General features: G+C 54.3%; 1 protein-coding gene across 6 annotated transcripts, besides 8 other annotated features; it reads left to right on the top strand.

The window, feature by feature from the left end:
- On the top strand, positions 386–20,872 carry CSF1 (colony stimulating factor 1). 6 transcript variants are annotated; one of them, XM_017000369.1, is made up of 9 exons: positions 386–512; positions 4,139–4,261; positions 5,514–5,576; positions 7,173–7,343; positions 11,727–11,874; positions 13,046–14,070; positions 14,656–14,708; positions 15,027–15,082; positions 18,732–20,872. In XM_017000369.1, the coding sequence occupies exons 2-8, from the start codon at positions 4,223–4,225 to the stop codon at positions 15,067–15,069; spliced, it is 1,542 nt and encodes a 513-aa protein (XP_016855858.1). In that variant the 5' UTR covers positions 386–512; positions 4,139–4,222; the 3' UTR covers positions 15,070–15,082; positions 18,732–20,872. The 6 variants fall into 6 exon arrangements, with proteins under 6 accessions (XP_016855858.1, NP_000748.4, NP_757350.2 ...); NM_000757.6 differs by lacking the exon at positions 386–512 and adding an exon at positions 729–942; NM_172211.4 differs by lacking the exon at positions 386–512 and adding an exon at positions 729–942 and having other exon boundaries at positions 13,940–14,070.
- Positions 823–992: a silencer, noted in NCBI's record as "silent region_1161". NCBI's record gives its function as "represses an Ori minimal core promoter by ATAC-STARR-seq in GM12878 lymphoblastoid cells {active_cell/tissue: GM12878}" and the evidence as "EXISTENCE:reporter gene assay evidence [ECO:0000049][PMID:35858748]".
- Positions 823–1,438: a biological region, named in NCBI's record as "H3K4me1 hESC enhancer GRCh37_chr1:110453680-110454180".
- Positions 938–1,438: an enhancer, noted in NCBI's record as "H3K4me1 hESC enhancer chr1:110453680-110454180 (GRCh37/hg19 assembly coordinates)". NCBI's record gives its function as "activates a minimal SCP1, AML or CMV promoter by ChIP-STARR-seq in primed H9 embryonic stem cells {active_cell/tissue: H9 hESC(primed)}" and the evidence as "EXISTENCE:reporter gene assay evidence [ECO:0000049][PMID:30033119]".
- Positions 1,043–1,152: a silencer, noted in NCBI's record as "silent region_1162". NCBI's record gives its function as "represses an Ori minimal core promoter by ATAC-STARR-seq in GM12878 lymphoblastoid cells {active_cell/tissue: GM12878}" and the evidence as "EXISTENCE:reporter gene assay evidence [ECO:0000049][PMID:35858748]".
- Positions 1,439–1,939: an enhancer, noted in NCBI's record as "H3K4me1 hESC enhancer chr1:110454181-110454681 (GRCh37/hg19 assembly coordinates)". NCBI's record gives its function as "activates a minimal SCP1, AML or CMV promoter by ChIP-STARR-seq in primed H9 embryonic stem cells {active_cell/tissue: H9 hESC(primed)}" and the evidence as "EXISTENCE:reporter gene assay evidence [ECO:0000049][PMID:30033119]".
- Positions 2,016–2,115: an enhancer, noted in NCBI's record as "active region_1457". NCBI's record gives its function as "activates an Ori minimal core promoter by ATAC-STARR-seq in GM12878 lymphoblastoid cells {active_cell/tissue: GM12878}" and the evidence as "EXISTENCE:reporter gene assay evidence [ECO:0000049][PMID:35858748]".
- Positions 20,956–21,904: an enhancer, noted in NCBI's record as "H3K27ac-H3K4me1 hESC enhancer chr1:110473698-110474646 (GRCh37/hg19 assembly coordinates)". NCBI's record gives its function as "activates a minimal SCP1, AML or CMV promoter by ChIP-STARR-seq in primed H9 embryonic stem cells {active_cell/tissue: H9 hESC(primed)}" and the evidence as "EXISTENCE:reporter gene assay evidence [ECO:0000049][PMID:30033119]".
- Positions 21,028–21,242: a silencer, noted in NCBI's record as "fragment chr1:110473770-110473984 (GRCh37/hg19 assembly coordinates)". NCBI's record gives its function as "represses an EF-1alpha promoter that drives an FKBP-Casp9 reporter gene in an ReSE screen in phorbol 12-myristate 13-acetate-treated (for megakaryocytic differentiation) K562 erythroleukemia cells {active_cell/tissue: K562(+PMA)}" and the evidence as "EXISTENCE:reporter gene assay evidence [ECO:0000049][PMID:32094911]".

Genomic DNA, 24,651 nt, shown 5'->3' on the forward strand with positions numbered 1-24,651 from the left:
TTTCATCATCTAAGGGTCAGGTGCCTTGAAGTGTCTGCTGGCACCCAGGGAAGAGCCCCCCAGCTTGCTGTCACAGGACACAGCTGCTCCCTTCCTGGCCAGGTAGCTGGCCTCCCTCCCAGAATGGGACTTGAAGCTGGCCGGGCTGCTTGGGGGCTGCAGAGGAAGAAGGGGGCTGCCGGCAAACCTGCTGACTCAGGCTCCACGAGGGAGCAAGTAACACTGGACTCCTTTCGGCACTCCGAGAATGGGGTGGGGGCGTCTTCAAAGGATTTCCCTCCCTTCCCAGTGCTTGTCCCTGCTCTCGGTCCGTTTTCTGCTAAGATTTGGGGATTTTCAGGCCTGGAGGGAAAGTCCCTTGGGACGATCATAGAGCGCTAGCACTGAATCAGCCTGGAGAGCGCGGAAGGAAAGGGTCGGTCCGCAGAGGGCGCGGGGAAGGCAGGGTGGGGACGCGGTGGAGCCCGCGCTCGTTTGCTGAAGGCTTGGAAGTGCAGCGCAGAAGACAGAGGGTGACTAGGAAGACGCGCGAGCGGGGCTGGCCGGCCGGCGGGTGGGGGAGGGGAGGCGGGGGAAGGCGGCTGAGTGGGCCTCTGGAGTGTGTGTGTCTGTGTCAGTGTGTGTGTGTGTGTGTGTATGTGTGTGTCTGGCGCCTGGCCAGGGTGATTTCCCATAAACCACATGCCCCCCAGTCCTCTCTTAAAAGGCTGTGCCGAGGGCTGGCCAGTGAGGCTCGGCCCGGGGAAAGTGAAAGTTTGCCTGGGTCCTCTCGGCGCCAGAGCCGCTCTCCGCATCCCAGGACAGCGGTGCGGCCCTCGGCCGGGGCGCCCACTCCGCAGCAGCCAGCGAGCGAGCGAGCGAGCGAGGGCGGCCGACGCGCCCGGCCGGGACCCAGCTGCCCGTATGACCGCGCCGGGCGCCGCCGGGCGCTGCCCTCCCACGGTAAGCGACGGCCGCGGCGCTGGGCCCGGGACGGGCTGGGGCGGGGGCTCGGCGGCCAGGCGGCCGGGAGCGGCCCCTCGGAGCCGACAGCCTGGGCGCGCCGGCTGCACTGGCCCGGCGTTCCCGCCGCGGACGAACCGCCTTTGCGCACGGACTGGGCCCTGGCGCCAGGGCGGAGGCCGGTGGCGGCCCTGCAGCTGCACCGGGACTGCCAGGCTTCCCTGGGAAACGGAGGGCTGCTCACCCCATTGCACGGAGGGGAACACTGAGCCACCTGCAGGCAGGAGCCCCCGCTCAGCCAGGGTGCCCTGCCTCTCTCCCTACCCGCCACCACCAAGGCACGGGCGGAGTGGCTGTGCGCTGAGTGTGTGCCCTCCCCGGTGGGCACCTTCCTCATCGGCCACACACGTGCTTCCAAGGCCCTGCTGAGGAGTGGGCGCTTCTGGGCAGGGAAAGTTCAGGGGGTCAACCAGCTTATAGAACGCCAGGGACTTGCTGGCAGAGGGACGGAGAGGGGCAAGCCACTGCTTGTTCCAGCCCACAGGCAGGAGCTACGGAGGACTTGGGTGGCTGTTTGGGGGGTGGGGTGGGGGACGGCAACAGCCGGCAAACAGCCCCCCACCCCCGGGGCTGCTTGGGGCTAGCTCAGAATCTCTTTTTCTTGCAAATTCTGGTTTCATCGGTTGGGGAGATTCTGGGCTTTGTGGTGGTTTATGGTGGTTTGCAGTGCTTGAGGAAAATGGAAAGAGGGTTTGGTGTTGCAGAGCTGTGTCCAGGGGCAGGGTCTGCTCCTGACTGCGTAAGGGACGCCCTGCCCCAACTGTGGCGGTAGCAGATGCAGCCATAGAAAGTGAGGGTGGCACTGTTCATGACCAGTCAGTGGGCTCATAATAGATTTGCTTCTGAGGAGTCCTGGAAGAAAATGAGAGGGGAAACCTGGGGGGAAAAGAGCAGAAAATTATTTGGGGGTAGAGGAGAGCGGGCTGCAGGTGAGGTGAGAGAGAAAGGGAAGAGTGGGTCCACAGAAAGAAAGTGCCTCACTGAGAGAGAGGAGATAGAGTTGAGAGGGGAAGGGAGAAGGGTTAGCCATAGGCAGAAAGCAAAGCTTCGGGGCTGAAGGGGAGACCATGAGGAAAGAAGAGAAAGACAAGGGGGCTGTGTTTAGACAGGGGAAGTCCAAGGGCCCGGTTCTGCCAGGTCTCTCCAGAGGCCTTGTTGAGGGGGAAGATGAAATGGAATAGGATAGGTGGCAGAGGAGGCTGGACAGCTGGACTGAGGTGTCCTAGCATCTCTGAGCCTGCAGCAGAGATTCCTTCTGAGGGCTGCTCCCCAGGCAGAAGCCAGGGCTAGGGGTGGGAGGAAGAGGCAGTCAGAGGAGAGCCTGCCCAGCCAGATGCAAGCCAGAGTGTTAACCCCCCACTGTCTGTCCAGATCCTCCTGAGGCAGAATGGAGGCCCCAGGTCCAGGGGTATCCCCTTTGGCCAGCTTCGAAGTCAGCCTCTCATGTAGTGGCTGCACTTTCCCCACACTGATGCCTCAAATGTCATCAAAGCCAGACAGCCCTTGGGGTTAAGCATTGCTCCCACCTTGCTCTCCTCCAGGGAGGTTGTCTTCCTGAGCGGTCCCTTTCATCCATACCATTCACTCCAGACCTTGAGTGGCAGCCAGTCTGGGGTAGATACACCGTCTAGTGGCCCAGTTTCCTCCAATCATTCCTGAACCTAAGGTTTCTGAGTACCTGGGCCATTATTCCCACCCAGGGCAACCTCCCCAACAGAGCCTGAAGTCCCCCCAGCCCCCGTGACTGCCGTCCCCCTCTTCCACACTTTCCCTCCCTCAGATCAGCCAGGATCCTCACAGTCCCTGTGCTGAGTGGTATGAAACTATCCTTTGGCTCTTCCTTCCATGGCTCCCACCCCTCTCCTGCCATCACCTTCTCCCCATCTTTCAAGGCCTCACTGAGGTCCCTGCTCTCTGCAGTCTCCCTGGTCACCCAGCCAGAGCTGCCTTCTCCTCCCCAGAAGAGCTGGCAAGCATTTGGGCTTTTGGTGATATGTAGATTAGCACATTGTTGTGGGCTGTTTCATAGCCTCGTTGTGTTTTTCCAGTGAGCAACTTATTTGCAGTATTTGTCTCAACATCTGGATTATTGAGGCAAAACCCAGAGTCCAGGATAGTGTCAACCTTCACCCTACCCTGCCAGCATTTCCCTGAATCTGGGGGCATCAGCCGCCAGGAGGCTTGGGAGCTCTCAGGAGGTGACCTCAAGCTGGAGAAAGAAAGCCCAAGAGTCTGTCTGCTTTTGGCTGAAGAAGGAGAGACCTAGGGCCAGGGGTAGGGATGAGGAGACCCCAGTGAAGAGAAGGAAGAGAGGAAGGAAGGGGAAAGACAGGGCATCAGGAGCCAGTCCCATCACTCTGGGGCTGAGCAACTACTGGGCCAGGTAGGTGCTGGGAGAGAAGAGGGGTCTCAGAAAACTTCTCTGCCATGATAAGAGGTGGCTGGCTGGAGGCAAAGCCTGATGGTGCTCAAATAGGCAGGTGCCAGGCAAGGGATGGCCCATTACTGGCACTGGTGCCTCTGATTAATCAGCTGGGCTCCTTTTGAAACACACACCCAGGGCTCCAAGATGTCTCTGGCAAGGGATGAGTTCCAGTGAAACTGAGTTTGATCCCACAGTTTTTCCAGTGGCAGAGCCAGATCTGCATGGAACCAGGTGGGAGGAAATGCTGGGCCCAGGGGAGCTGTCTCTGGCTTGCCATCTGAAAGCCGGTGCATGAACATGAACTTGAGGGCAGTTCAAAAAGTGCTTGGCTCAGTGTTGATGTTGCAGAGACAGAAAAAAATGGGTAGATGCAAGTCCTGCTCTCGAGTTTCCTGTGTCATTAAAATTTAGGCTGGTAGGCACACCATCTGTGTCAGTATTAGTTCAATGTATAGTTAGGTTTGGCTGGCTTAATCTGGGAAGGCTTCTTGTAGAAGGTGACATCTGGGTTGTTTTCATGGGAGAACAAGGTTGTGCTGTGGCTGCTAGAAATCCTGGGAAAGCTGGATTTGAGGGATGCTGTATCCTGAGGTAAGGGGCAGAGCCTGTAGCATTGTAGATATGAGGCCTTTGTTTTTCTGCGTTGAGCAGGGCATGGGGATAACTGGGGAGAGTGAGACCTGGGGAGAAATGACACCCTCTCTGTCACAGACATGGCTGGGCTCCCTGCTGTTGTTGGTCTGTCTCCTGGCGAGCAGGAGTATCACCGAGGAGGTGTCGGAGTACTGTAGCCACATGATTGGGAGTGGACACCTGCAGTCTCTGCAGCGGCTGGTGAGTGTGTGGCCATGCTGTATTCTACCTTCTCCCCACTGGGGAAATGAAGGCAGGAGCCAGGGAGCAGGTCAAAGAGAGCAGTTGCAGGCAGGAAAATAGGGCAGTGCGGGACATTGCTTGTGGTTCCCACTAGCTCCACCAGTGATACCCTTCACTAACCTTCCCAAAGTTAGGACCTCTGGTCTCCCCAGCTCGAAGCCCTCTCTGACTGCCCTGCAGGCAGTGGATGCTGTGGGCTTCCAGCTGCTTGCCTGGGTTAGTGATTGCCCAGGAACATCAACCACTGATTCTGAAAAGGCTTCTGAGGTCTGCTGTCCCTCAGTGGGATGCCTCCTCTGGGAAGCTAGCCCAGGCGGCCTGCTGTGTCCAGATGTTGCATCTAGCTCCTGGACTCTCATATGTGGCGCCAGTCTGGCATCAGAGCCCCACCCAGATTTGGAGGGGAAGCGCTTGCCTAACTCCCAGCCTTCCACACTCACTTCCCTGGCTCTTGCCCATACCCTGAGGCTGGGATGGCCTGCTCATCTGGGCCATGAAGGAGCCTGTATCTCATTCTAATCAGACCCATACGTGGTCCAGCCAGGCAGAATCAGGTTGCTGTCATGGCTGCTGTCCTGCTCAGTGGGAATTTACCATTCCTCTGGCCAGCCAGGCAGGGTGGGGCATCACTGGCTAACGCCAGCTCCAGGGCCCTGAGCTTGGGGCCTGTGGGCTGTGCCTTCCGCCTCTCTTGCCCCAGCACTACTTCTCCTGTATGTAGTTGCTGTAGCAATCCAAGGTAGACCAAGAGCCCCAGCATTCTCTGAGGCTTAAAATCCAGAACTGCTGCTCTGGGGCTAAAGAGGGCTTTAAGGGCATCCAGCTCCAACCCCTACAGGTGTTCAATCCCCAGAGCTTGTCCAGCCTCTGCTTGAATTCCTACCATGACAGGGTGCTCACTGCCTCCAGGGAAGATTATATCCTATATTCTTCTATAGACATCTCTTCCTTAAAACAAATGGGCATTTGTCAGATTTCGTGGGGTGGTAGAAGGAAAGAAGAGACTTCTTGTTCTTCTACAGCCTTCCCCTGGGCATCTGGAAGGCACTGATCTTCTCCTAGACTTGACTCTGTCTTTCCACGTGTGGTTGGCAGGGATGAAGTTCAAACCCCAATCCACTCAGAAGCTAAGGTCCCCGTTTTGAAGAAGGCTGAAGGCTGAGTTGAGCTGTAGGTTACCCTGCAATCGTTGGCCTGCTCTCTCTTACAGATTGACAGTCAGATGGAGACCTCGTGCCAAATTACATTTGAGTTTGTAGACCAGGAACAGTTGGTGAGTGATGGCTTTTTACAAAATCCATGCACCAGCCTGCATGCAACTCCCAGGGTGGGGTGTGTGGGGGAGCATGAAAGCGGCAGAATGCCTACTGCTGGAAAGGGTGAGAGTGTGAGGATCCATGGGTGCTCAACTCTGGGGTGCCAGGATCCAGGGCTCAAGTCCCCTGCCATTCCCTTCTCCTGGCCTGATACATAACAAGCGCTCACTAGGTACCAAGCACTTTGCTAATGTAGTTCTGACAGTACCACTATGTGGTACACAAATACAGTTTATTATCCACAGAGAGGTGAAAGGAGCATAGCTAGTAGGTGCTAGAGGCCTGATTTGAATCCAGGAAGGTTGGCTGTAGGGCTTGAGGCAAATCAATACTTCTTCCAGGTCACAAGCTTTGCTTAAGGATGTCACTTCTCTTCACCAGGCCAACCAGCAGGCAGGTAGGCAGTCCAGCCCTTCCTGGACTTGCCCCACACCCAACCAGCCACCAAGTGCTGCTGGTTCTGCCTCTCAGCATCTCTGGGTTCTGTCTCCTCCATCCCCACCTTCACCCCTCAATCAGTTGCTTGGACAATTTCAAGAGCCTCCTAACTGGTGTCTCCCTGCTTTCTAGTTCACTCCTCATCTTACCACTGGGGGAAATTTTCTGAAACGCCAACCTGCTGCCTTTACCTCCTTCTCCCAAAAACATCAGGGCCCCCATCACTCCAGAAGAAAGCCAAGGTTGTCTAGTCTGGGTTACACCAGGTCTAGCCATTCTCCACCACACAAGCCTCTATACCACCTCCCCATTCCCTGCTTCTTCCTGCCTCCCATCTTTGCACAAGCTCTTTCCAATGACTGTCATGCCTTTCCACCTGCCCCCCAATCATTATTCCACATCTATTCATCTTTATGCCTCATGCAAAACTGCCTTGATACCCAGAAGTTGCCCCTGTTTCTGAGCTTCCACACACCTGACCCATATGCACCTCTGTTAGGACTAGAGATCACCTCATGGTCCAAAGAATAGCCTCAGTATTTTATGCACTCACTCGCTTGCTCTAGCACTCATGCCTGAACTAGCATTTGCTAGGAACCTACTGGACTAGATGCTGGGGGTAGAGAGCTAAAGCAGAGTGGGTCTTCAAGGCAACTACCATCTCTTTAGGGAGACAAAACACAGAGGTTATTCTTTGGACCATGAGATAGTCTTCAGCACCCCTATGTCCTGGAGGATTTGAAGGGGCCATATGGTAAAAGATATTTGTGAAAGCAAGACAAGAGGAAGACAGAAAGAAAGGCAGGGGAAGGTTCCCTGGAGCCCACCTTCCCTATATACATCCATCGTGATTAAAGCCTCATATTCCAGAAACCCAGAGAACTCTCTAATCAGAATCCACATTTCCTTCACTCTAGCCCAGTCTCCAGTGGCGCTAGATCCCAAAGAGAGAGAAAGACAGGCAAGCTGAGGGCGGCATTCTCCTAGTTGCTGGCATGGTGTGGTCCCTCCCCTGGGGGAAGGGGGAGAGCAAGCTGCAACCCTCCATCTGCCTGGGGTTGGGGGTTCCCAGGCCACAATGGCCAGGCCATAAGCTCCAGGTTCCTGTTTTTCAGAAAGATCCAGTGTGCTACCTTAAGAAGGCATTTCTCCTGGTACAAGACATAATGGAGGACACCATGCGCTTCAGAGATAACACCCCCAATGCCATCGCCATTGTGCAGCTGCAGGAACTCTCTTTGAGGCTGAAGAGCTGCTTCACCAAGGATTATGAAGAGCATGACAAGGTAGGAAGCCCTGAGGCCTGGAGCACTGAGTGAGGGCAGAGGGTGGCTGTGGAGGCGCCGCTCTATCCACAGGCACAGAGTACATTCGCTCACCTCGCCTCACGCCATTGCTTGCTCACTCTCATTTATTTGTCATCCCACCAACCTTTACCAGGCAGGAGGCAGGAGGGATCATGCTGGGCCCTGACAATGTCATCATGAGCAACAAATACATGGTCCCACCCCATGCAGCTTATAGTCAAGTGAGCTTGGCAGCTGTTAAACAAACCATGACACCAGTAAATAGAATTACAAACTATAAGGACTGTTCATTCCAACAGCAAGCAGTTATTGTGTGTCTGTTGTGTACCAGACACTGTTCTAGACACCAGGAAACAGCTGTGATGAAAACAGACAAAAATCCCCACATTCCTGGAACTTACATTTGGGGGTGACGGTAGTGGTGGTGAGACAGTTAACAAAATATGTAAGTAAAATATACAACATGTAGCATGGCAATAACAGCACTGGAGAAGAGTAAACCAGGGATGAGACGACCCGAAGGAAGTGGAGGAGTGAGCTGGGAACAAGAACCTGAAGGGCTCAAGGAGAGCAACAGGGAACTCAGACTTCCATGGAGTTGGGGAAGCAGAGACAAGAAAGGCTTCTGAGTAAGCAAATATTGATTTGAGCTCCAAAGATGAGTAAGAATTGAAAGCAGTAAGGCTAGAAGAACATTCTGGAACAGGAAAAGCTATGCACAAAGCCCTAAGGTAAACAAACAGGAAAGTGCACATTCAGGGACCCAAAGGGTTATCAGCATGGCCAGAGCATGGGAAGTGAAGGAGGGGGAGGAGAGAAGTCAGGAGCCAGATCACATGTGGTTTTAGAGATGTGGGATTTTGTCTTAAGGGTGAGGGAAGCTGTTGTGAACAGGCATGTGGCTTAATCTCAGGTTATAAGACTGACCTGGTTGCTATGTGGAGGATAGACCACAGGGGGCAGGAATGGAGGCTGGGAGACCAGCAGAAGGTGTGAGTCCAGGCTAGACACATTGGCGGCTTGGACCAAGGTGGGACAGTGAAGGTGGAGGCAAGTGGACTGGACATGTTCCCGTGGGTTTAGGGGCAGAATCAACAAGACTTGGTACGTGCAGTGGATGTGAGAAGCTGAGGGAAAGAAAAAGCCAAGGATGGTTTTTGTCTTGAGCACCTGGATATTCCAATGATGCTGAAACGGGGATGATCCATGGGCAGAGCAGGTTTGAGGGAAGACAGTTCAGTCTGGGGCACAGCAGACGTGAGGTGCTCATGAAATGGTGAGTGGAGACGTTGAGGAGGCAGCTAGGTGTGCGGGTCTTGAGTGTGACCAGCAATGCACAGATCTATGAGGCATGGGGGTTCGGCTTATCTGTGAAGCCATGGGACTGGACAGCACTGCCACTGTGAGAAGAGAAGCAGGCCCAGGAACCCAGCATTTGGAGGGCAAGCAGAGGATGGGGGACCTGGCAAGGGGCAGCCTGAAGGTGGGAGGAAAAGAGGGAGAGTGCAGAGTCGAGGCACTGCATTCCAAGATGGATAAGGGATGGAGATTCATAAAAAAGCGTTGAGAAATCAAGCAAGGTGAGGGCTAAAATTGTCCATTGGATTTGGCAACGTGTCACACATGCTGGATCAGGGTGAACAGAAAGAGAGGAAGTAGAGACACCACTGTGGAAGAACTTGGATCCGAATGGGGGCAGGAAAAGAGATGTAGCTGGAGGGAGTGTGTAATTGAGGGAGGACTTTTTGTTCTGTTTTTGTTGTCGTTGTTTTGAGACAGGGTCTCATTCTGTCACCCAAGCTGAAGTTCAGCGGCGCAATCACGACTCACTGCAGCCCAACCTCCCAGGCTCAATTGATCCTCTGACTTCAGTCTCCTGAGTAGCTGGGACAACAGGCACACCCCACTATGCCCAGCTATTTTTTGTAGAGATAGGGTTTCGCAATGTTGCCCAGGCTGGTCTCAAACTCCCAGGCTCAAGCAATCTGTCTGCCTTGGCCTCCCAGAGTGCTGGGATTACAAATGTGAGTTACTGTGCCTGGCCAGGAAAACATTTTTAATAAGAGAGGTATTAAATCTGCGGTTTTCCAACATTAAGATTCCTAAGAATCACTTGGGGAATGTGTTGAAAATGCATATTCCTAGGACACACCCCTAGAGAGTCTGATACACTGGGTTTAAGAGTGGCTCCAGGGCCGGGCGCGGTGGTTCATGCCTCTAATCCTGGCACTTTGGGAGGCCGAGACAGTGGATCACCTGAGGTCAGGAGTTCAAGACCAGCCTGCCCAACAGGGCGAAACCCCATCTTTACTAAAAATACAAAAATTAGCAGCTGGTGGTGGCGCATGCCTGTAATCCAAGCTACTCGGGAGGCTGAGGCAGTAGAATCGCTTGACCCAGGGTGGCGGAGGTTGCAGTGAGCTGAGATCGAAACTCCATCTCAAAATAAATAAATAAATAAATAAATAAATAAATAAATAAATAAATAAATAAAAGACTGAACCCAGGAATCTGCATCTTAAGCAGCTGTCGCACTGATGATTATGACCCCCTTGGATATTCACTTGTAGACATGTGTGAATGCTGAGGGGCAGGCTCCAAGAGAGAGGGTGGGTGAAGCTGGAGGAGCTAGCTCCCAGCAAGTCTCTGGAGAAGACAGTGGGAGGGATTCAGAGCTCCTGAGGGAGAGTGAGAGTGAGACTTCATCTCAAAAAAAAAAAAAATGTTTACCAGATAGACGTACGAATGAGAAGACTGGGCTCAGCTCCATCACTTACCAGCTAGGTGGCAGTGACCAAGTAAACTGCCGGAGTCTCACTCTCTCCCAGGCTGGAGTGCAGTAGTGCCATCTCAGCTCACTGCAACCTTTGCCTCCCGGGTTCAAGCAATTCTCCTGCCTCAGCCTCCCGAGTAGCTGGGATTACAGGCACGCACCACCATGCCCAGCTAATTTTTGTCTTTCTAGCTGGGATTACAGGCACGTGCCACCATGCCTGGCTAATTTTTGTCTTTTTAGTAAAGACAAGGTTTCACCATGTTGGTCAGGCTGATCTCGAACTCCTGACCTCGTGATCAGCCTGCCTCGGCCTCCCAACATGCTGGGATTACAGGTGTGAGCCACCGCACCCGGCCTATCTGGTAAACATTTCTTAAGGGCTGACTGCATAGGCCAGGGAGATGCGGCGATGCCTTCAAGGACTTCACAGCCTAGAAAAGCCCATGTTTCTTCCCTGTGAAGCTCAGTTTAAGGAAAAACTTGGTATCTGTGATTCAGTGGCATTTAGGCCCTGGATGAAGCTGTGAGCATGCATGGCATGGCCTTGTGTGAAAGGAGAGGTGGGCCCGGGAGTGAACCCTGAGGGATGGCAGCATTTGGATATCAGGAGGAGAAGGGGAGCTTGGTAAGGAGACAGAAAGAGCAGCTTGAAAGGTGGGAGAAGACCCAGGATGATGCAGCTTCTCAGAGCTCCAGTGGGTGTGGGAAGCCGGGGCCCCTTGAGCAGCACAGAAGACAGGGCTGGGACCTCCTCAGCCCTCCCTCTAAGACACACCAATGCCAGCAAAGGACCCATATGCCTGGCGGCTGCCCCGTTCCCTTCTCCACACCACAGCTCAATGATTTTTCTCAAACTCAACTCTTACCATGCCACTGCCCACCCCTAACACCCCTTCAGATGTTTTCCCTTTGCTCTGTGGACAAAACTAAAAGTTCTGGTCTTGGCCCACGAGGCCCTCAAGACCTGGCCCTTGCTAACCTCTCTCCATGTGCGTCTCTTGCCACGCTCCTCCTAGATGGTAGTGCTGCAGCCACACCAGCCTTCTTTTAGTCTTTGGGCTTTTCATGCATTTTCTTGCCTCAGGACTTTTGCACGGTCTGTTCTTGCAGCCTGGACAGCTCTCTGGGATCCCATCTCTTTCCTGGTTTCTCTTGCTCATCTTTTAGTTGATTCCTTGGGGAAATTCTCCCTGAACACTTGTTTAGTTCCCCTTGTTGCACACCATCGGATGGCCCAGTACTTATTCATAGGACTCATTGCACTTGTAACAATGTGTTTAGTCCCTGCTGGATTGCTGGACTCAGTGTCCAACTCAGCCAGGAACCACCTCTCTCTTGTTCGTTGCATGATTCCCAGGTAATTACCATATGCCTGGCACATAAACATATGTTGAATGGGTCTGTGAATAAATGACATATCTCATAACCTCAGGACTCATTCTGCTGCAAACCAGGGGAAAGGGGAGCAAGGAAACAAAAGGGAAAAAGAAGACAGATGTGAGAAAGGCCAAGGGAATTTGACAAATAAGATGGAGACATGGGGCCAATGGTCATGCTCACAAAAGGGGGCCCTGATCTCCTTCCAGGCCTGCGTCCGAACTTTCTATGAGACACCTCTCCAGTTGCTGGAGAAGGTCAAGAATGTCTTTAATGAAACAAAGAATCTCCTTGACAAGGACTGGAATATTTTCAGCAAGAACTGCAACAACAGCTTTGCTGAATGCTCCAGCCAAGGTAAGCATGGCAGGGGCCAGCAAGTGTGTGGGGGTGGTAGCATATGGAATGGGGATTGGGAGGTGAGATGTGAAGCTGGGGGGACCCCTGGGGAGGCAGCCTGGCTGCTACTCGTGTTCCCGTGTGCATGAATGTGCTTGTTCTGTGTATATATGTGGCTTCACGTACCTCTGGTCCTGGGCACATGTCTTTTCTGACATGTGTGTGCATGCACACCTACATATGTCTGCATGTGGCAGCGTCAAGAAGGATCATGCTGGTGCCTTGAGATTAGGGAGTGGAAATGGGAGCCTGTCTTGGGAGCCCTGTAGGTATGGAAGCTTTCCCCACTGGCTCTGCAGGCTGGCTGAACGTGTGGGGGGTTCTGTGGAGACAGCTGACACCCATCTGGGAGTCAGGGCCCTTGCTCCAGGAGCTCTGCTGCGAATCACCATGATACCCTGGCTCCAGAAGTCCCCAGGATGCCTTGGGTGTTTCCTCAAGGGACAAGGCTGGATTTGAAGTCTGAGCATCATTGGAACTCCCAGGGCTGGCTCAGCTGCATACATGTGTACACTGCGTGTCCTCGTCTCTGCGTCTCGTGCCACACGTGCCCTCCTACATTCAACCTTGCTTCCCAAGGCAGGGTCTAGGGCCCTGCAACCTGCCAGTGGCCAAGTCCAGTCTCGTTGCTTCAATCCCAAGTCCTCAAGCCTTGGCTGCATTCTAGCCCCAGCCTGTTCCTGCCTGTGGCTGTGGCTGTGGCTGTGGCTGTGTGGCTCCTGGCTATGCATGAAACCAGTGTCTCTGGGGCTTGAAGTTGTCTTGTATTGGTCTGGAAGGCAACCGTTCAGCCTCCTGACCTGACTGCTGCTCACCCCTAGCTTGGCCTGTGGCCAGTGGGAACCCCTGCATGGGCTGTTCTCTTATCTTCCTTCTCCCCAACCCCCAGTGTGTGCATCTCAACCCTATTCTTTGTCACTGCTCATGAGACCCTGCATACGGCACCTTCCCTGTGTCATGAGCACCCACTCTAGTCCCATCCTCTTCTCAGCCCCAGGGCTGAGCTAGGAGATGAGGGCCCCCCAGACTCACATTCCCCTCTTGCCCCGCTCTGGGAAAGCTGTGCTGGAGGCTAGTGACTCTATCTCCTCCCCATCTTTCTCTCTCCTTCTCTCTGTGGTTCTTTCAGATGTGGTGACCAAGCCTGATTGCAACTGCCTGTACCCCAAAGCCATCCCTAGCAGTGACCCGGCCTCTGTCTCCCCTCATCAGCCCCTCGCCCCCTCCATGGCCCCTGTGGCTGGCTTGACCTGGGAGGACTCTGAGGGAACTGAGGGCAGCTCCCTCTTGCCTGGTGAGCAGCCCCTGCACACAGTGGATCCAGGCAGTGCCAAGCAGCGGCCACCCAGGAGCACCTGCCAGAGCTTTGAGCCGCCAGAGACCCCAGTTGTCAAGGACAGCACCATCGGTGGCTCACCACAGCCTCGCCCCTCTGTCGGGGCCTTCAACCCCGGGATGGAGGATATTCTTGACTCTGCAATGGGCACTAATTGGGTCCCAGAAGAAGCCTCTGGAGAGGCCAGTGAGATTCCCGTACCCCAAGGGACAGAGCTTTCCCCCTCCAGGCCAGGAGGGGGCAGCATGCAGACAGAGCCCGCCAGACCCAGCAACTTCCTCTCAGCATCTTCTCCACTCCCTGCATCAGCAAAGGGCCAACAGCCGGCAGATGTAACTGGTACCGCCTTGCCCAGGGTGGGCCCCGTGAGGCCCACTGGCCAGGACTGGAATCACACCCCCCAGAAGACAGACCATCCATCTGCCCTGCTCAGAGACCCCCCGGAGCCAGGCTCTCCCAGGATCTCATCACTGCGCCCCCAGGGCCTCAGCAACCCCTCCACCCTCTCTGCTCAGCCACAGCTTTCCAGAAGCCACTCCTCGGGCAGCGTGCTGCCCCTTGGGGAGCTGGAGGGCAGGAGGAGCACCAGGGATCGGAGGAGCCCCGCAGAGCCAGAAGGAGGACCAGCAAGTGAAGGGGCAGCCAGGCCCCTGCCCCGTTTTAACTCCGTTCCTTTGACTGACACAGGCCATGAGAGGCAGTCCGAGGGATCCTTCAGCCCGCAGCTCCAGGAGTCTGTCTTCCACCTGCTGGTGCCCAGTGTCATCCTGGTCTTGCTGGCCGTCGGAGGCCTCTTGTTCTACAGGTGGAGGCGGCGGGTGAGTAGATCCCCATGAGGAAGAAGAGCACGTCCCTTAGGGCAGGGGCAGAGCCTGGCGGGGGTGCAGGTGGGGGGACAGCTTGGGTGCGGCCTGAGTTCTTCAGACACAGAGAGATAGGGGCTGGCTCAGCACAGAGGATGAGAGGTGGAAATGGAGGATTACTTCGAGAATTGGGAAGGTTCAAGCTATAAGGTCAATGGGAAGGGACTGGAGCAGAAGGGAGCGGGAGAGAATATTCATGGGCTGACAGCAGGATGATATCCAGACGGGCAGGGAGCTGGAGGAGGAGAGCAATGCTGTGTGAGCGTGTCAGGGCAGGCGTACACTGGAAGCTCTGCAGAGCCTGGGGCAGGAGGACCCATAGGGAACAGCCTGCAAGGGTGTGGGGAGAGGAGAGGGGACACCATCAGCAGAGAGACCTCACAAATCTCCCTTGGGCCTCTGGCTGATCCCCACTTTTGGGAAGTTGGGAGGACTCTTGCAACTCTCTCATAAATACCTGGGGCAGCCCTTACTGGGGATGGGCCACCGCCCCCCCACACTCCCCCAGCTCCTCAGTGAGATGCTCTTTCCTGTCCTCAGAGCCATCAAGAGCCTCAGAGAGCGGATTCTCCCTTGGAGCAACCAGAGGGCAGGTGAGAGCTTGAGGTGGGGCTCTGGGAGGCACTGGGGGCCTGGCTTGGGATCTGTTTCCCCTCTTCGTGGTGGTGGGGCTCTCCTGCTTGCTCTGAGGAAATGGAGCTGCAGAACAGGATGGGGGAGAGAAGAAGGGCCTCTGTCCTTTCCCAGATATCTGGGCTTTTTCCTGATTTCTCCGTAGAGTTAGACAGTTCTGGGTCTTTTCAATCTGAGAGGGCCTAGAGCATGTCTGGGGCTTAGGGGTAAACTTACGGAGTCCCCTTATTCCCCTGCTCCTGCTGATGTCTAATACCAGCCCTGTGCTCTGCCTGCAGCCCCCTGACTCAGGATGACAGACAGGTGGAACTGCCAGTGTAGAGGGAATTCTAAGGTAAGATTCTGACTTTGATCTCCACTCCTAAAACTTACCTATACCCTTTTCCAGTCACGTTCACCTGTTGGTGACACCAATTCCCCTGAGGCCCCCACACTGACTCCCATGCCTCTCTCCAGTTCCCTTTCCATACATCGCCAGCCAGGTCCAGCCACCCTCTCCTTTCCAGGTCCTCAGCTATCCCCCTGCCCCTCCATTCCATCCACCCCCGCTGAGGCCAGGGACTATTACCTCTGCATTGGGCTTCTAGTGTTGCTGCCACCTGTGACCTCAGAGCAACTAAACCCCCCTTTTTCAAATGTGGCCTTTATAAGGTCTTTACCCTCCTGGAGAATCTTCAGTAGCTCTGTGTGGCAGCCACTGCAAGCCCTATATTCTTGGCTTGGCTGCCAAGCCCCTTCGACAGCAGCTGCTTGCCAGATCGCCACCCCCGCACCAGTTAACCCTCCTCCCCAGCTGAGGTCAGTTCTGCTTCCTTGCTTTTAGGATCATGTTGACATAGAACCTGAGTCTTGGAAGGGCTCTCAGGGGTCATTTGGCCCTGGTTCCCACCCCAAAGGGACTGCCCCTCTCCATGTCCCCAACAGGGAGCCAGCCAGCTGGCTGTCACACACTCCCAGATCCAGCCCAGCTCCCTGCCTAGCCACAGCCCATGCCATCTTCCAGTCAGACTGGGAGAAACGTCTTCCTCATGCGAGGCAAAACTGGCTTCCCTGCCCCCTCCATACTGCTCCTCCCTCCTGTTCTCATGAAAACCCTCAGATATTTCAAGTCAGGTATCCATGTCCCCTTTGAGAATTCTCTAAGCTAAGTATGGCCAAGTCCCTCAAACGTTCCTTATATGATATGGTTTTCAGACCCCTCACCATCCTGGACACACTCGTTTGTCAATGTCCCTCTGAAAATGTGACGCCCAGCCCCGGACACAGTACTCCAGATGTTGTCTGACCAGCTCAGAGAGAGTACAGTGGGACTGTTACCTTCCTTGATATGGACAGTATTCTTCTATTTGTGCAGATTAAGATTGCATTAGTTTTTTTCTTAACAACTGCATCATACTGTTGTCATATGTTGAGCCTGTGGTCTATTAAAACCCCTAGTTCCATTTCCCATAAACTTCTGTCAAGCCAGACCATCTCTACCCTGTACTTGGACAACTTAACTTTTTTAACCAAAGTGCAGTTTATGTTCACCTTTGTTAAAGCCACCTTGTTGGTTTCTGCCCATCACCTGAACCTACTGAAGTTGTGTGAAATCCTAATTCTGTCATCTCCGTAGCCCTCCCAGTTGTGCCTCCTGCACATTGATGAGTGCCTGCTGTTGTCTTTGCCCATGTTGTTGATGTAGCTGTGACCCTATTGTTCCTCACCCCTGCCCCCCGCCAACCCCAGCTGGCCCACCTCTTCCCCCTCCCACCCAAGCCCACAGCCAGCCCATCAGGAAGCCTTCCTGGCTTCTCCACAACCTTCTGACTGCTCTTTTCAGTCATGCTCCTCCTGCTCTTTTGTATTTGGCTAATAGTATATCAATTTGCACTTATTTGGATGTTGTTTTCATATTTTTTAAAATCTTATTTTATATGTATTGTACATTCCACATCCCTAAGATTGTAAGCCCCTTGAGGGCAGGGACTGTCTTCCACTTTTTTTTGTGTTTCTTTTTCCATCCTGGGTTCTACTAAGAGAGGGCCTCTCCACATTTGCCAAACATGCAATAAATGTTGACTGACTGGCTTCAGGGCTGACTCACGGACTGACCCTGGCCAGCTGTCTCTAACTGACCAGCCTCTAGCTGACCAGTTAACCAGCTAACTGACTGACTCTGACTGACTGGCTGACCAGCTGGCTGGGTGAATGACTAACCAACCAACTATCTTGGTAACTGCCTAACTGACCAGCTGTTGCTTGGGGAGCCCATTGAGCAACTGACTAGCTGATTGCCTGACTAATTGGCTGGTTGGCTGACTAGCTGGGGTGACCCAGTCAAGTTTCCAGTCACATCCTTTACCAAGTGCAAGCCAGTGCCGCAGGGCTCTCCCATGTGTGGAGTGACAGGTCTGGGCCCCTTCTAGAGAGATAGGGAATTTGGCAAATGCTCAAAACCAGGGGAACCTATTTAGACAAGAACCAGCAGTAACAACATATCTGGAATCCTGGGGTCTACCTTGTCAGTGGGGTGGGCTAAGATGGGTGAGTGGGTCAGCTGGGGCACTGGCAAGACTGTGAAATGACCCAGGCCTCCTCAGAACTGGTTGCTGGTGGCTCAGTGCCACAACACCCTTCCCACGGGTCGTCTGTCCCCAAACCCCTCGCCGTGGTCTTGGCCCTCTGTCCCACCCCTCTACACGCCCACCCTCCTTTCCCCACTTGCTTATTCTCAGGCCCGTCCCAAGCTTTCCTCTTCCCCCTCAAGATTTCACTTGGAGAGGGAATCCAGGGCAGGGGCTACATCCAGATCCCACTTGGCCCGGCAGGTCCAGCCCTAAGGTGGTCTCCAGGCCAGGCACCAGTGGCCTTGGAGAGATTGAGTGCCAGCCCCTAGAGTGACTGCTGCTGTGATTTGAGAAGTGAGAGAGAGAAACATAGAGGCAGAGACTGAGATAGGGACTCAGAGCCACAGAAAATGCAGACACCAGCACCTCAGCCCTAAGCAGCTAGAAGATGGGGCAGCAGGCTGGAACTCGCTCACTGGGTCCTTCTCCCCTCCTGGGCCCTAGCTGGGCCTGTGGCCTGGCTGTACCCAGCATGGCTCATGTCCAGTTTATGGTTCCCCTTCTTTCCCTCTAGAGCATGGGAATGGGCAGGGAGCCAGAGGCTGTGGTTCCATCTTCCCTCCTTACCCAGTAGGGCCTATGGATGTTAGGGAGGGAGGCTCCACACAAGGTCCAAAGTCAAACTGTTGGATGGGGTCCAGGGGATTTCTGCTCTGGGAACAAAGCGTCCTGAGGATGCTGGGCAAGAGGACAAGGATGGGGGTGGAAGGCGAGAGGACAAGGCCCTGACTCCCATGGATGATGCGGGAGGCAAGGCCCTCGGCCCATCCAGGAGGGGCTGGGTTGCTTAGGGGTCGCGTGCCAAATGACAGTGTGGGAATTTCCTTGTCCTGGCACTGCCTCTAGACTTTTCCTCTCTGGCCCAAGTTGTTCCTCTTCAGCTAGCTCTGCCCTACTGTCTTGAACATCATATGTGATGCCCCTCTGATGAAATGAAAGATTCTTCTTTGCTAGTGTTAGCAGGAATCACCCTTTGTTCACTGGACCAAGGCCAATGAGATGACCTCGCCTGAGGAGGGGTCCAAAGACATTCAAGTGCCCGCTTCGCTCCTTGTCAGAGCCCTCTGCTTGAGCAGTAACCCCTCTTCCCAGCCCTGCCCAGACCTCTCCCGGGCCCCGTTATCTTCCACTGAGGCCCTGATTCCCCAGGAGGAGGTAGGAGGTGAGGCCAGTTGGGCCAGAGGCCTGGGCTGGTGCCAGAGAAAGCTGCCTGGTCTCTCTGTGGTGTCTGGAAAGGCCAGGGAAGGGAGGAAAGGAAGTCCTGCCTGCAGCACCGCCAGCAGCCCACAGGAATGCCACACCTCCCAATCCATGTCCTCAACGACCCTCCCCGCATTCCCACTCTGCTGACTAGCCTTTCCTTCTCTCCCACAGCTGGACGCACAGAACAGTCTCTCCGTGGGAGGAGACATTATGGGGCGTCCACCACCACCCCTCCCTGGCCATCCTCCTGGAATGTGGTCTGCCCTCCACCAGAGCTCCTGCCTGCCAGGACTGGACCAGAGCAGCCAGGCTGGGGCCCCTCTGTCTCAACCCGCAGACCCTTGACTGAATGAGAGAGGCCAGAGGATGCTCCCCATGCTGCCACTATTTATTGTGAGCCCTGGAGGCTCCCATGTGCTTGAGGAAGGCTGGTGAGCCCGGCTCAGGACCCTCTTCCCTCAGGGGCTGCACCCTCCTCTCACTCCCTTCCATGCCGGAACCCAGGCCAGGGACCCACCGGCCTGTGGTTTGTGGGAAAGCAGGGTGGACGCTGAGGAGTGAAAGAACCCTGCACCCAGAGGGCCTGCCTGGTGCCAAGGTATCCCAGCCTGGACAGGCATGGACCTGTCTCCAGAGAGAGGAGCCTGAAGTTCGTGGGGCGGGACAGCGTCGGCCTGATTTCCCGTAAAGGTGTGCAGCCTGAGAGACGGGAAGAGGAGGCCTCTGGACCTGCTGGTCTGCACTGACAGCCTGAAGGGTCTACACCCTCGGCTCACCTAAGTGCCCTGTGCTGGTTGCCAGGCGCAGAGGGGAGGCCAGCCCTGCCCTCAGGACCTGCCTGACCTGCCAGTGATGCCAAGAGGGGGATCAAGCACTGGCCTCTGCCCCTCCTCCTTCCAGCACCTGCCAGAGCTTCTCCAGGAGGCCAAGCAGAGGCTCCCCTCATGAAGGAAGCCATTGCACTGTGAACACTGTACCTGCCTGCTGAACAGCCTGCCCCCGTCCATCCATGAGCCAGCATCCGTCCGTCCTCCACTCTCCAGCCTCTCCCCAGCCTCCTGCACTGAGCTGGCCTCACCAGTCGACTGAGGGAGCCCCTCAGCCCTGACCTTCTCCTGACCTGGCCTTTGACTCCCCGGAGTGGAGTGGGGTGGGAGAACCTCCTGGGCCGCCAGCCAGAGCCGGTCTTTAGGCTGTGTTGTTCGCCCAGGTTTCTGCATCTTGCACTTTGACATTCCCAAGAGGGAAGGGACTAGTGGGAGAGAGCAAGGGAGGGGAGGGCACAGACAGAGAGGCTACAGGGCGAGCTCTGACTGAAGATGGGCCTTTGAAATATAGGTATGCACCTGAGGTTGGGGGAGGGTCTGCACTCCCAAACCCCAGCGCAGTGTCCTTTCCCTGCTGCCGACAGGAACCTGGGGCTGAACAGGTTATCCCTGTCAGGAGCCCTGGACTGGGCTGCATCTCAGCCCCACCTGCATGGTATCCAGCTCCCATCCACTTCTCACCCTTCTTTCCTCCTGACCTTGGTCAGCAGTGATGACCTCCAACTCTCACCCACCCCCTCTACCATCACCTCTAACCAGGCAAGCCAGGGTGGGAGAGCAATCAGGAGAGCCAGGCCTCAGCTTCCAATGCCTGGAGGGCCTCCACTTTGTGGCCAGCCTGTGGTGGTGGCTCTGAGGCCTAGGCAACGAGCGACAGGGCTGCCAGTTGCCCCTGGGTTCCTTTGTGCTGCTGTGTGCCTCCTCTCCTGCCGCCCTTTGTCCTCCGCTAAGAGACCCTGCCCTACCTGGCCGCTGGGCCCCGTGACTTTCCCTTCCTGCCCAGGAAAGTGAGGGTCGGCTGGCCCCACCTTCCCTGTCCTGATGCCGACAGCTTAGGGAAGGGCAGTGAACTTGCATATGGGGCTTAGCCTTCTAGTCACAGCCTCTATATTTGATGCTAGAAAACACATATTTTTAAATGGAAGAAAAATAAAAAGGCATTCCCCCTTCATCCCCCTACCTTAAACATATAATATTTTAAAGGTCAAAAAAGCAATCCAACCCACTGCAGAAGCTCTTTTTGAGCACTTGGTGGCATCAGAGCAGGAGGAGCCCCAGAGCCACCTCTGGTGTCCCCCCAGGCTACCTGCTCAGGAACCCCTTCTGTTCTCTGAGAAGTCAAGAGAGGACATTGGCTCACGCACTGTGAGATTTTGTTTTTATACTTGGAAGTGGTGAATTATTTTATATAAAGTCATTTAAATATCTATTTAAAAGATAGGAAGCTGCTTATATATTTAATAATAAAAGAAGTGCACAAGCTGCCATGTGAGTCGTGGGAAAGTTGCTTTTGGGGTGTGGGTGGCAAACATCAGGGTGGGTGGGCAGCAGTTGCCGGATGAACCCCAGCTCAGAGAACCTTTTTCCACAAAACACAGGGGAGGAAGGTTCTCTCCAAGTTTCAGTCTTGGTACCAAAACCTCCTGTATTATTGCTGTCCCAAACACATTCATCTGCATATCTGCTCGTATTGGGCAGAAAGTGGCCAAACATCAGGCCTGGTCACTGGCCCCTGCTCCTGCCCAGCCTAGCCCAGCCTGGGAAAATGGCTGGTTGGGCTCTGTCCAAGGGCCCCGGCGGCCTGCAAGGATAAGGCTCCTTGACTGCTGAGCCCTGCTGACCAGGGCAGAGGTTGCTGGCTAGGTCCTTGCAGACTCTGAGGTGAATGAATTCTGTTTCCAGGCTGGGAAGTGAGTGTGGTTAGCAGGGGAGAGCCAGGAGTCCGTGTAAGGGCCCTCGTTCGGGCTCGACCTTCCTACTGGAGCTGGAGAGGAGACTGAGGGTGTGGCTTTCCATGGGGAGAGGGGTGTTAGGCAGGGCCAGAGGAGTTGAAGGCCCAAACATACACCCTGGGCAAAGCTATGACAAGAGGGGCCTCCCCATCCCTGAGGGAGTGGTAGACAGCTTTGGATTAGTGGTTCCCAACACTGGCTTCCGGGAGAATCACCTGGATTGTTTAAAAAAAATACTGATCCCCGAGCCCCACCCTAGATCAACAAAATCGAATCTTAGGGGTGAGGCTCAGGCACCAGATGTCAGAACTTTTAAAAGACATCTCAGGTGATTCCAATGTGATCCAGGATAAGAAGTATCTAGAGCTGCACTGTCAGGTAGGGTGGCTATTTAAGTTTAAATTAATTAGAATGAAATAAAAGTAAACATTCAGTTCCTTACCTGTACTATCCACATGTCAAGGGCTCAGTAACTACATGTGGCTACCATGTTGGACAGCACAGAAATACAACATTTGCATCATTCCAGAAATTCTACTGGACAGTGCTACCCCAAAGATTAGGTCCTTGGACTTAGGGACCAAGGATACAGGGCCAAGATTGGCATCAAGCACATTTGACCAGGGGCTAGGTGTTCAGGTGTCTCAGTCACCCCTTTCTGTGCCCTCACCCCTGCCACCCTGTCCCTTGTCATTTCCCTTAAGATGGCTCTTCCCTTTCTATCAAAAGAGCTACAGAAAAGATTTTTGAAGAAACTTACATTTTATCCTTCAAGGCCCCTCTGAGAAGCCTTCCCAGCCTGACTCAAGCTCCTGAGGCCCACCCAGGTTCAATTCCTTCCTCCCCTGTGCTTCTACAGATTTGGAATTTGGAATCTGTTTGTCTGTCTGTCCCACCAGGCCATGGTCAGTGGCAGACACTGCTACATCCCTCCTTTTATTAAAGGGGGACATGCGCCTAGTGCCTTAGCGCCTAAGAGTATCTGGCACACAGTAGGTGCTCAGTAACTGTGTGCCAAAGGTTAATACTTAAAGCATGAACAGAGGCATCATAATGCAAATTCTGACCAGACGTAAGGGGTGGCCTTTTCTAGAGGCCTTATTGGTATTAGCAAATGAGATTAGTATCTAATAACTACTGTTCAATGGCCAAGCAGAAGGATTTTCAGCAGAGGAGTCTTCCTGGCTTCTGACAGAAATGGGGCTAGTTAGAGCCCTTCCTGATCACTGGGCTGTGGTGGATGGAATGTACACTTCAAAGCCTCTAAGCAAGGATTGGTGATGAGGACAGCAAAGACCCCTTCCCCTTAGCTGCCTCTCTGGAACCCCCAGAAAGACCTGAGAATCTCGGCAGGCCTTTCCTGGGCTTCATGTGCTGCAGGGGCTGCTTGGGAAGCATCATACCTATAGAGCAATATTCGCTTTGAATTGAGAACCAGAGAACTGGCTGAGCGTGGTGGCTTATACCTGTAACCCCAGCGCTTTAGGGAGGCTGAGGTGAGAGGATCACTTGAGCCCAGGAGTTTGAGATCAGCCTGGGCAACATAATGAGACTCCATTTCTACAAACAAAAACTAGCCAGATGCGGTGGCACACACCAGTAGTCCCAGCTACATGGGAGACTGAGATGGGAGGATAGCTTGAGCCAGAAGGTTGAGGCTGCAGTCAACCCAGATCATACCACTGTACCTCAGCCTGGGAAATGAAGCAAGACCCTGTCTCAAAAACACCAAAACCCAAAAAACAACAGAAATTGGGTTCTTGGCTTGAATCTCTCACTGGCTCTTACTGTTTGACCTTGAGTAAGTATTTAACCTCTCTGAGCCTCAGGTTTCTCCTCATCTGTAGAACTAGTTTAAGAGTACAAACCAGGTGGCTGGGTGCAGTGGCTCACACCTGTAATCCCAGCACTTTGGGAGGCCAAGGCGGGCTGATTACTTGAGGTCAGGAGTTCAAGACCAGCCTGACCAACATGGTGGAACCCCATCTCTACTAAAAATACAAAAATTAGCCGGGCATAGTGGTGCACGCCTGTAACCTCAGCTGCTTGGGAGGCTGAGGCAGGAGAATCACTTGAACCCGGGAGGCAGAAGTTGCAGTGAGCCGAGATCGTGCCACTGCACTCCAGCCTGGGCAACAGAGCAAGACTCCGTCTCAAAAAAAAAAAGGAAGAGTGCAAACCAGGTATACCTGGACTGCAGTTCAAATAAAATGACAAACCCAAAAGCACTTTGTGGGCTCCAAAGGGCTGCCCCTGAATCAAGTGTGTATTGATACTGTGCCTGCCAGCTGGTCCAACAGTGCCCAAGCCAAACAGAGAGCTCCCCTCTGGGCAAGCCCTGGGCACCAGCATGCTACCAGGGCCTGGCTGTTCTCAGAGGAAGGTGGCAGAGCTGGGTGCTTCCCACAGGGATGAGTAGTTAGAGATCTTGTTGCTCAGGTATTTCTGGCTGACAAGAAGAGCCAGGTAGGAGACTGGAGTGGAAAGTGGCCTTGGGTTGCTACGGGTGCCGGTGAGCAGGCAGGGTCAGGAACTCTGGCTTGGACTATATAAGCAGAGGCCACGGCCAAACCCCAAACCACTATCCGGCCAGAGGCAGGAAAGTGAATCAGAGGAGACGAGGAAGAAGCCTGAGGTTAACCTCGTGCAGACTGTGGGCCGTGGCAAGAAAGGAGTTGGTGACAGGACTAGATGCAGGGCCTGGGTGGGTGTCCAAAGACCCCTTGAATAAGGCACTAAAGTCATTTGGTGAAGGCAGTGGCCAGGGAGCCCTGAAGAAAAAAAGCCACATTTCCCAGTGAGCACATGTCCCCTGCCCCAGTGAAAGCCTCCTCTGCCAGAGCAGCACTTTTGTTTGCTGGTTTCCCTCTTCAGGCTCTAGGATTAGGGGAGTGACCAGGCTCTGCTCCTGAATGCTGGGACTGCTGAGGGAGCAAGTGGACCACACTAGCTTGGAAAGCCCCATGGTGAAGCGGCTGGACCACAGGAAAGCCCACAGGTTGACCCCCATGGCACCATCTAGAGTCCATACTGACTCAGCTCCACTACTGGGTGGCTGAGTCAGAAGAGGCTATGGATCGGGGCAGTGGAGAAGGCTGGGTCAGGCAGTTGTCGAGTGAATTCCTGGAGGAGGGCTAGGGGAGAACCCTAAGTTGGACTTTAGCCTCTCTGGTCCACAGGCCCCATCCCTGCTCTGAAGTCTTGGACACCTTCCCCCAGCCACTCTGCTATTTTGTCCTCTTCATGTGTGTGCATCTAGTGAGGTCTGTGAAGGCAAGAGCCTCATCCTTATTTATTCATTTACTTCCCCAT

This window comes from Homo sapiens, chromosome 1, assembly GCF_000001405.40.
Source record: "Homo sapiens chromosome 1, GRCh38.p14 Primary Assembly".
Lineage (NCBI taxonomy): Eukaryota > Metazoa > Chordata > Mammalia > Primates > Hominidae > Homo > Homo sapiens.

Bases quoted from the DNA above. Each gene is read 5' to 3' on its own strand.
- CSF1 (NM_000757.6), top strand. From the start codon at position 904: ATGACCGCGCCGGGCGCCGCCGGGCGCTGCCCTCCCACG. The intron at 5,577-7,172 runs GTGAGTGATGGC...CCTGTTTTTCAG, and splicing joins TTGTAGACCAGGAACAGTTG to AAAGATCCAGTGTGCTACCT. The intron at 11,875-13,045 runs GTAAGCATGGCA...TGGTTCTTTCAG, and splicing joins TGCTGAATGCTCCAGCCAAG to ATGTGGTGACCAAGCCTGAT.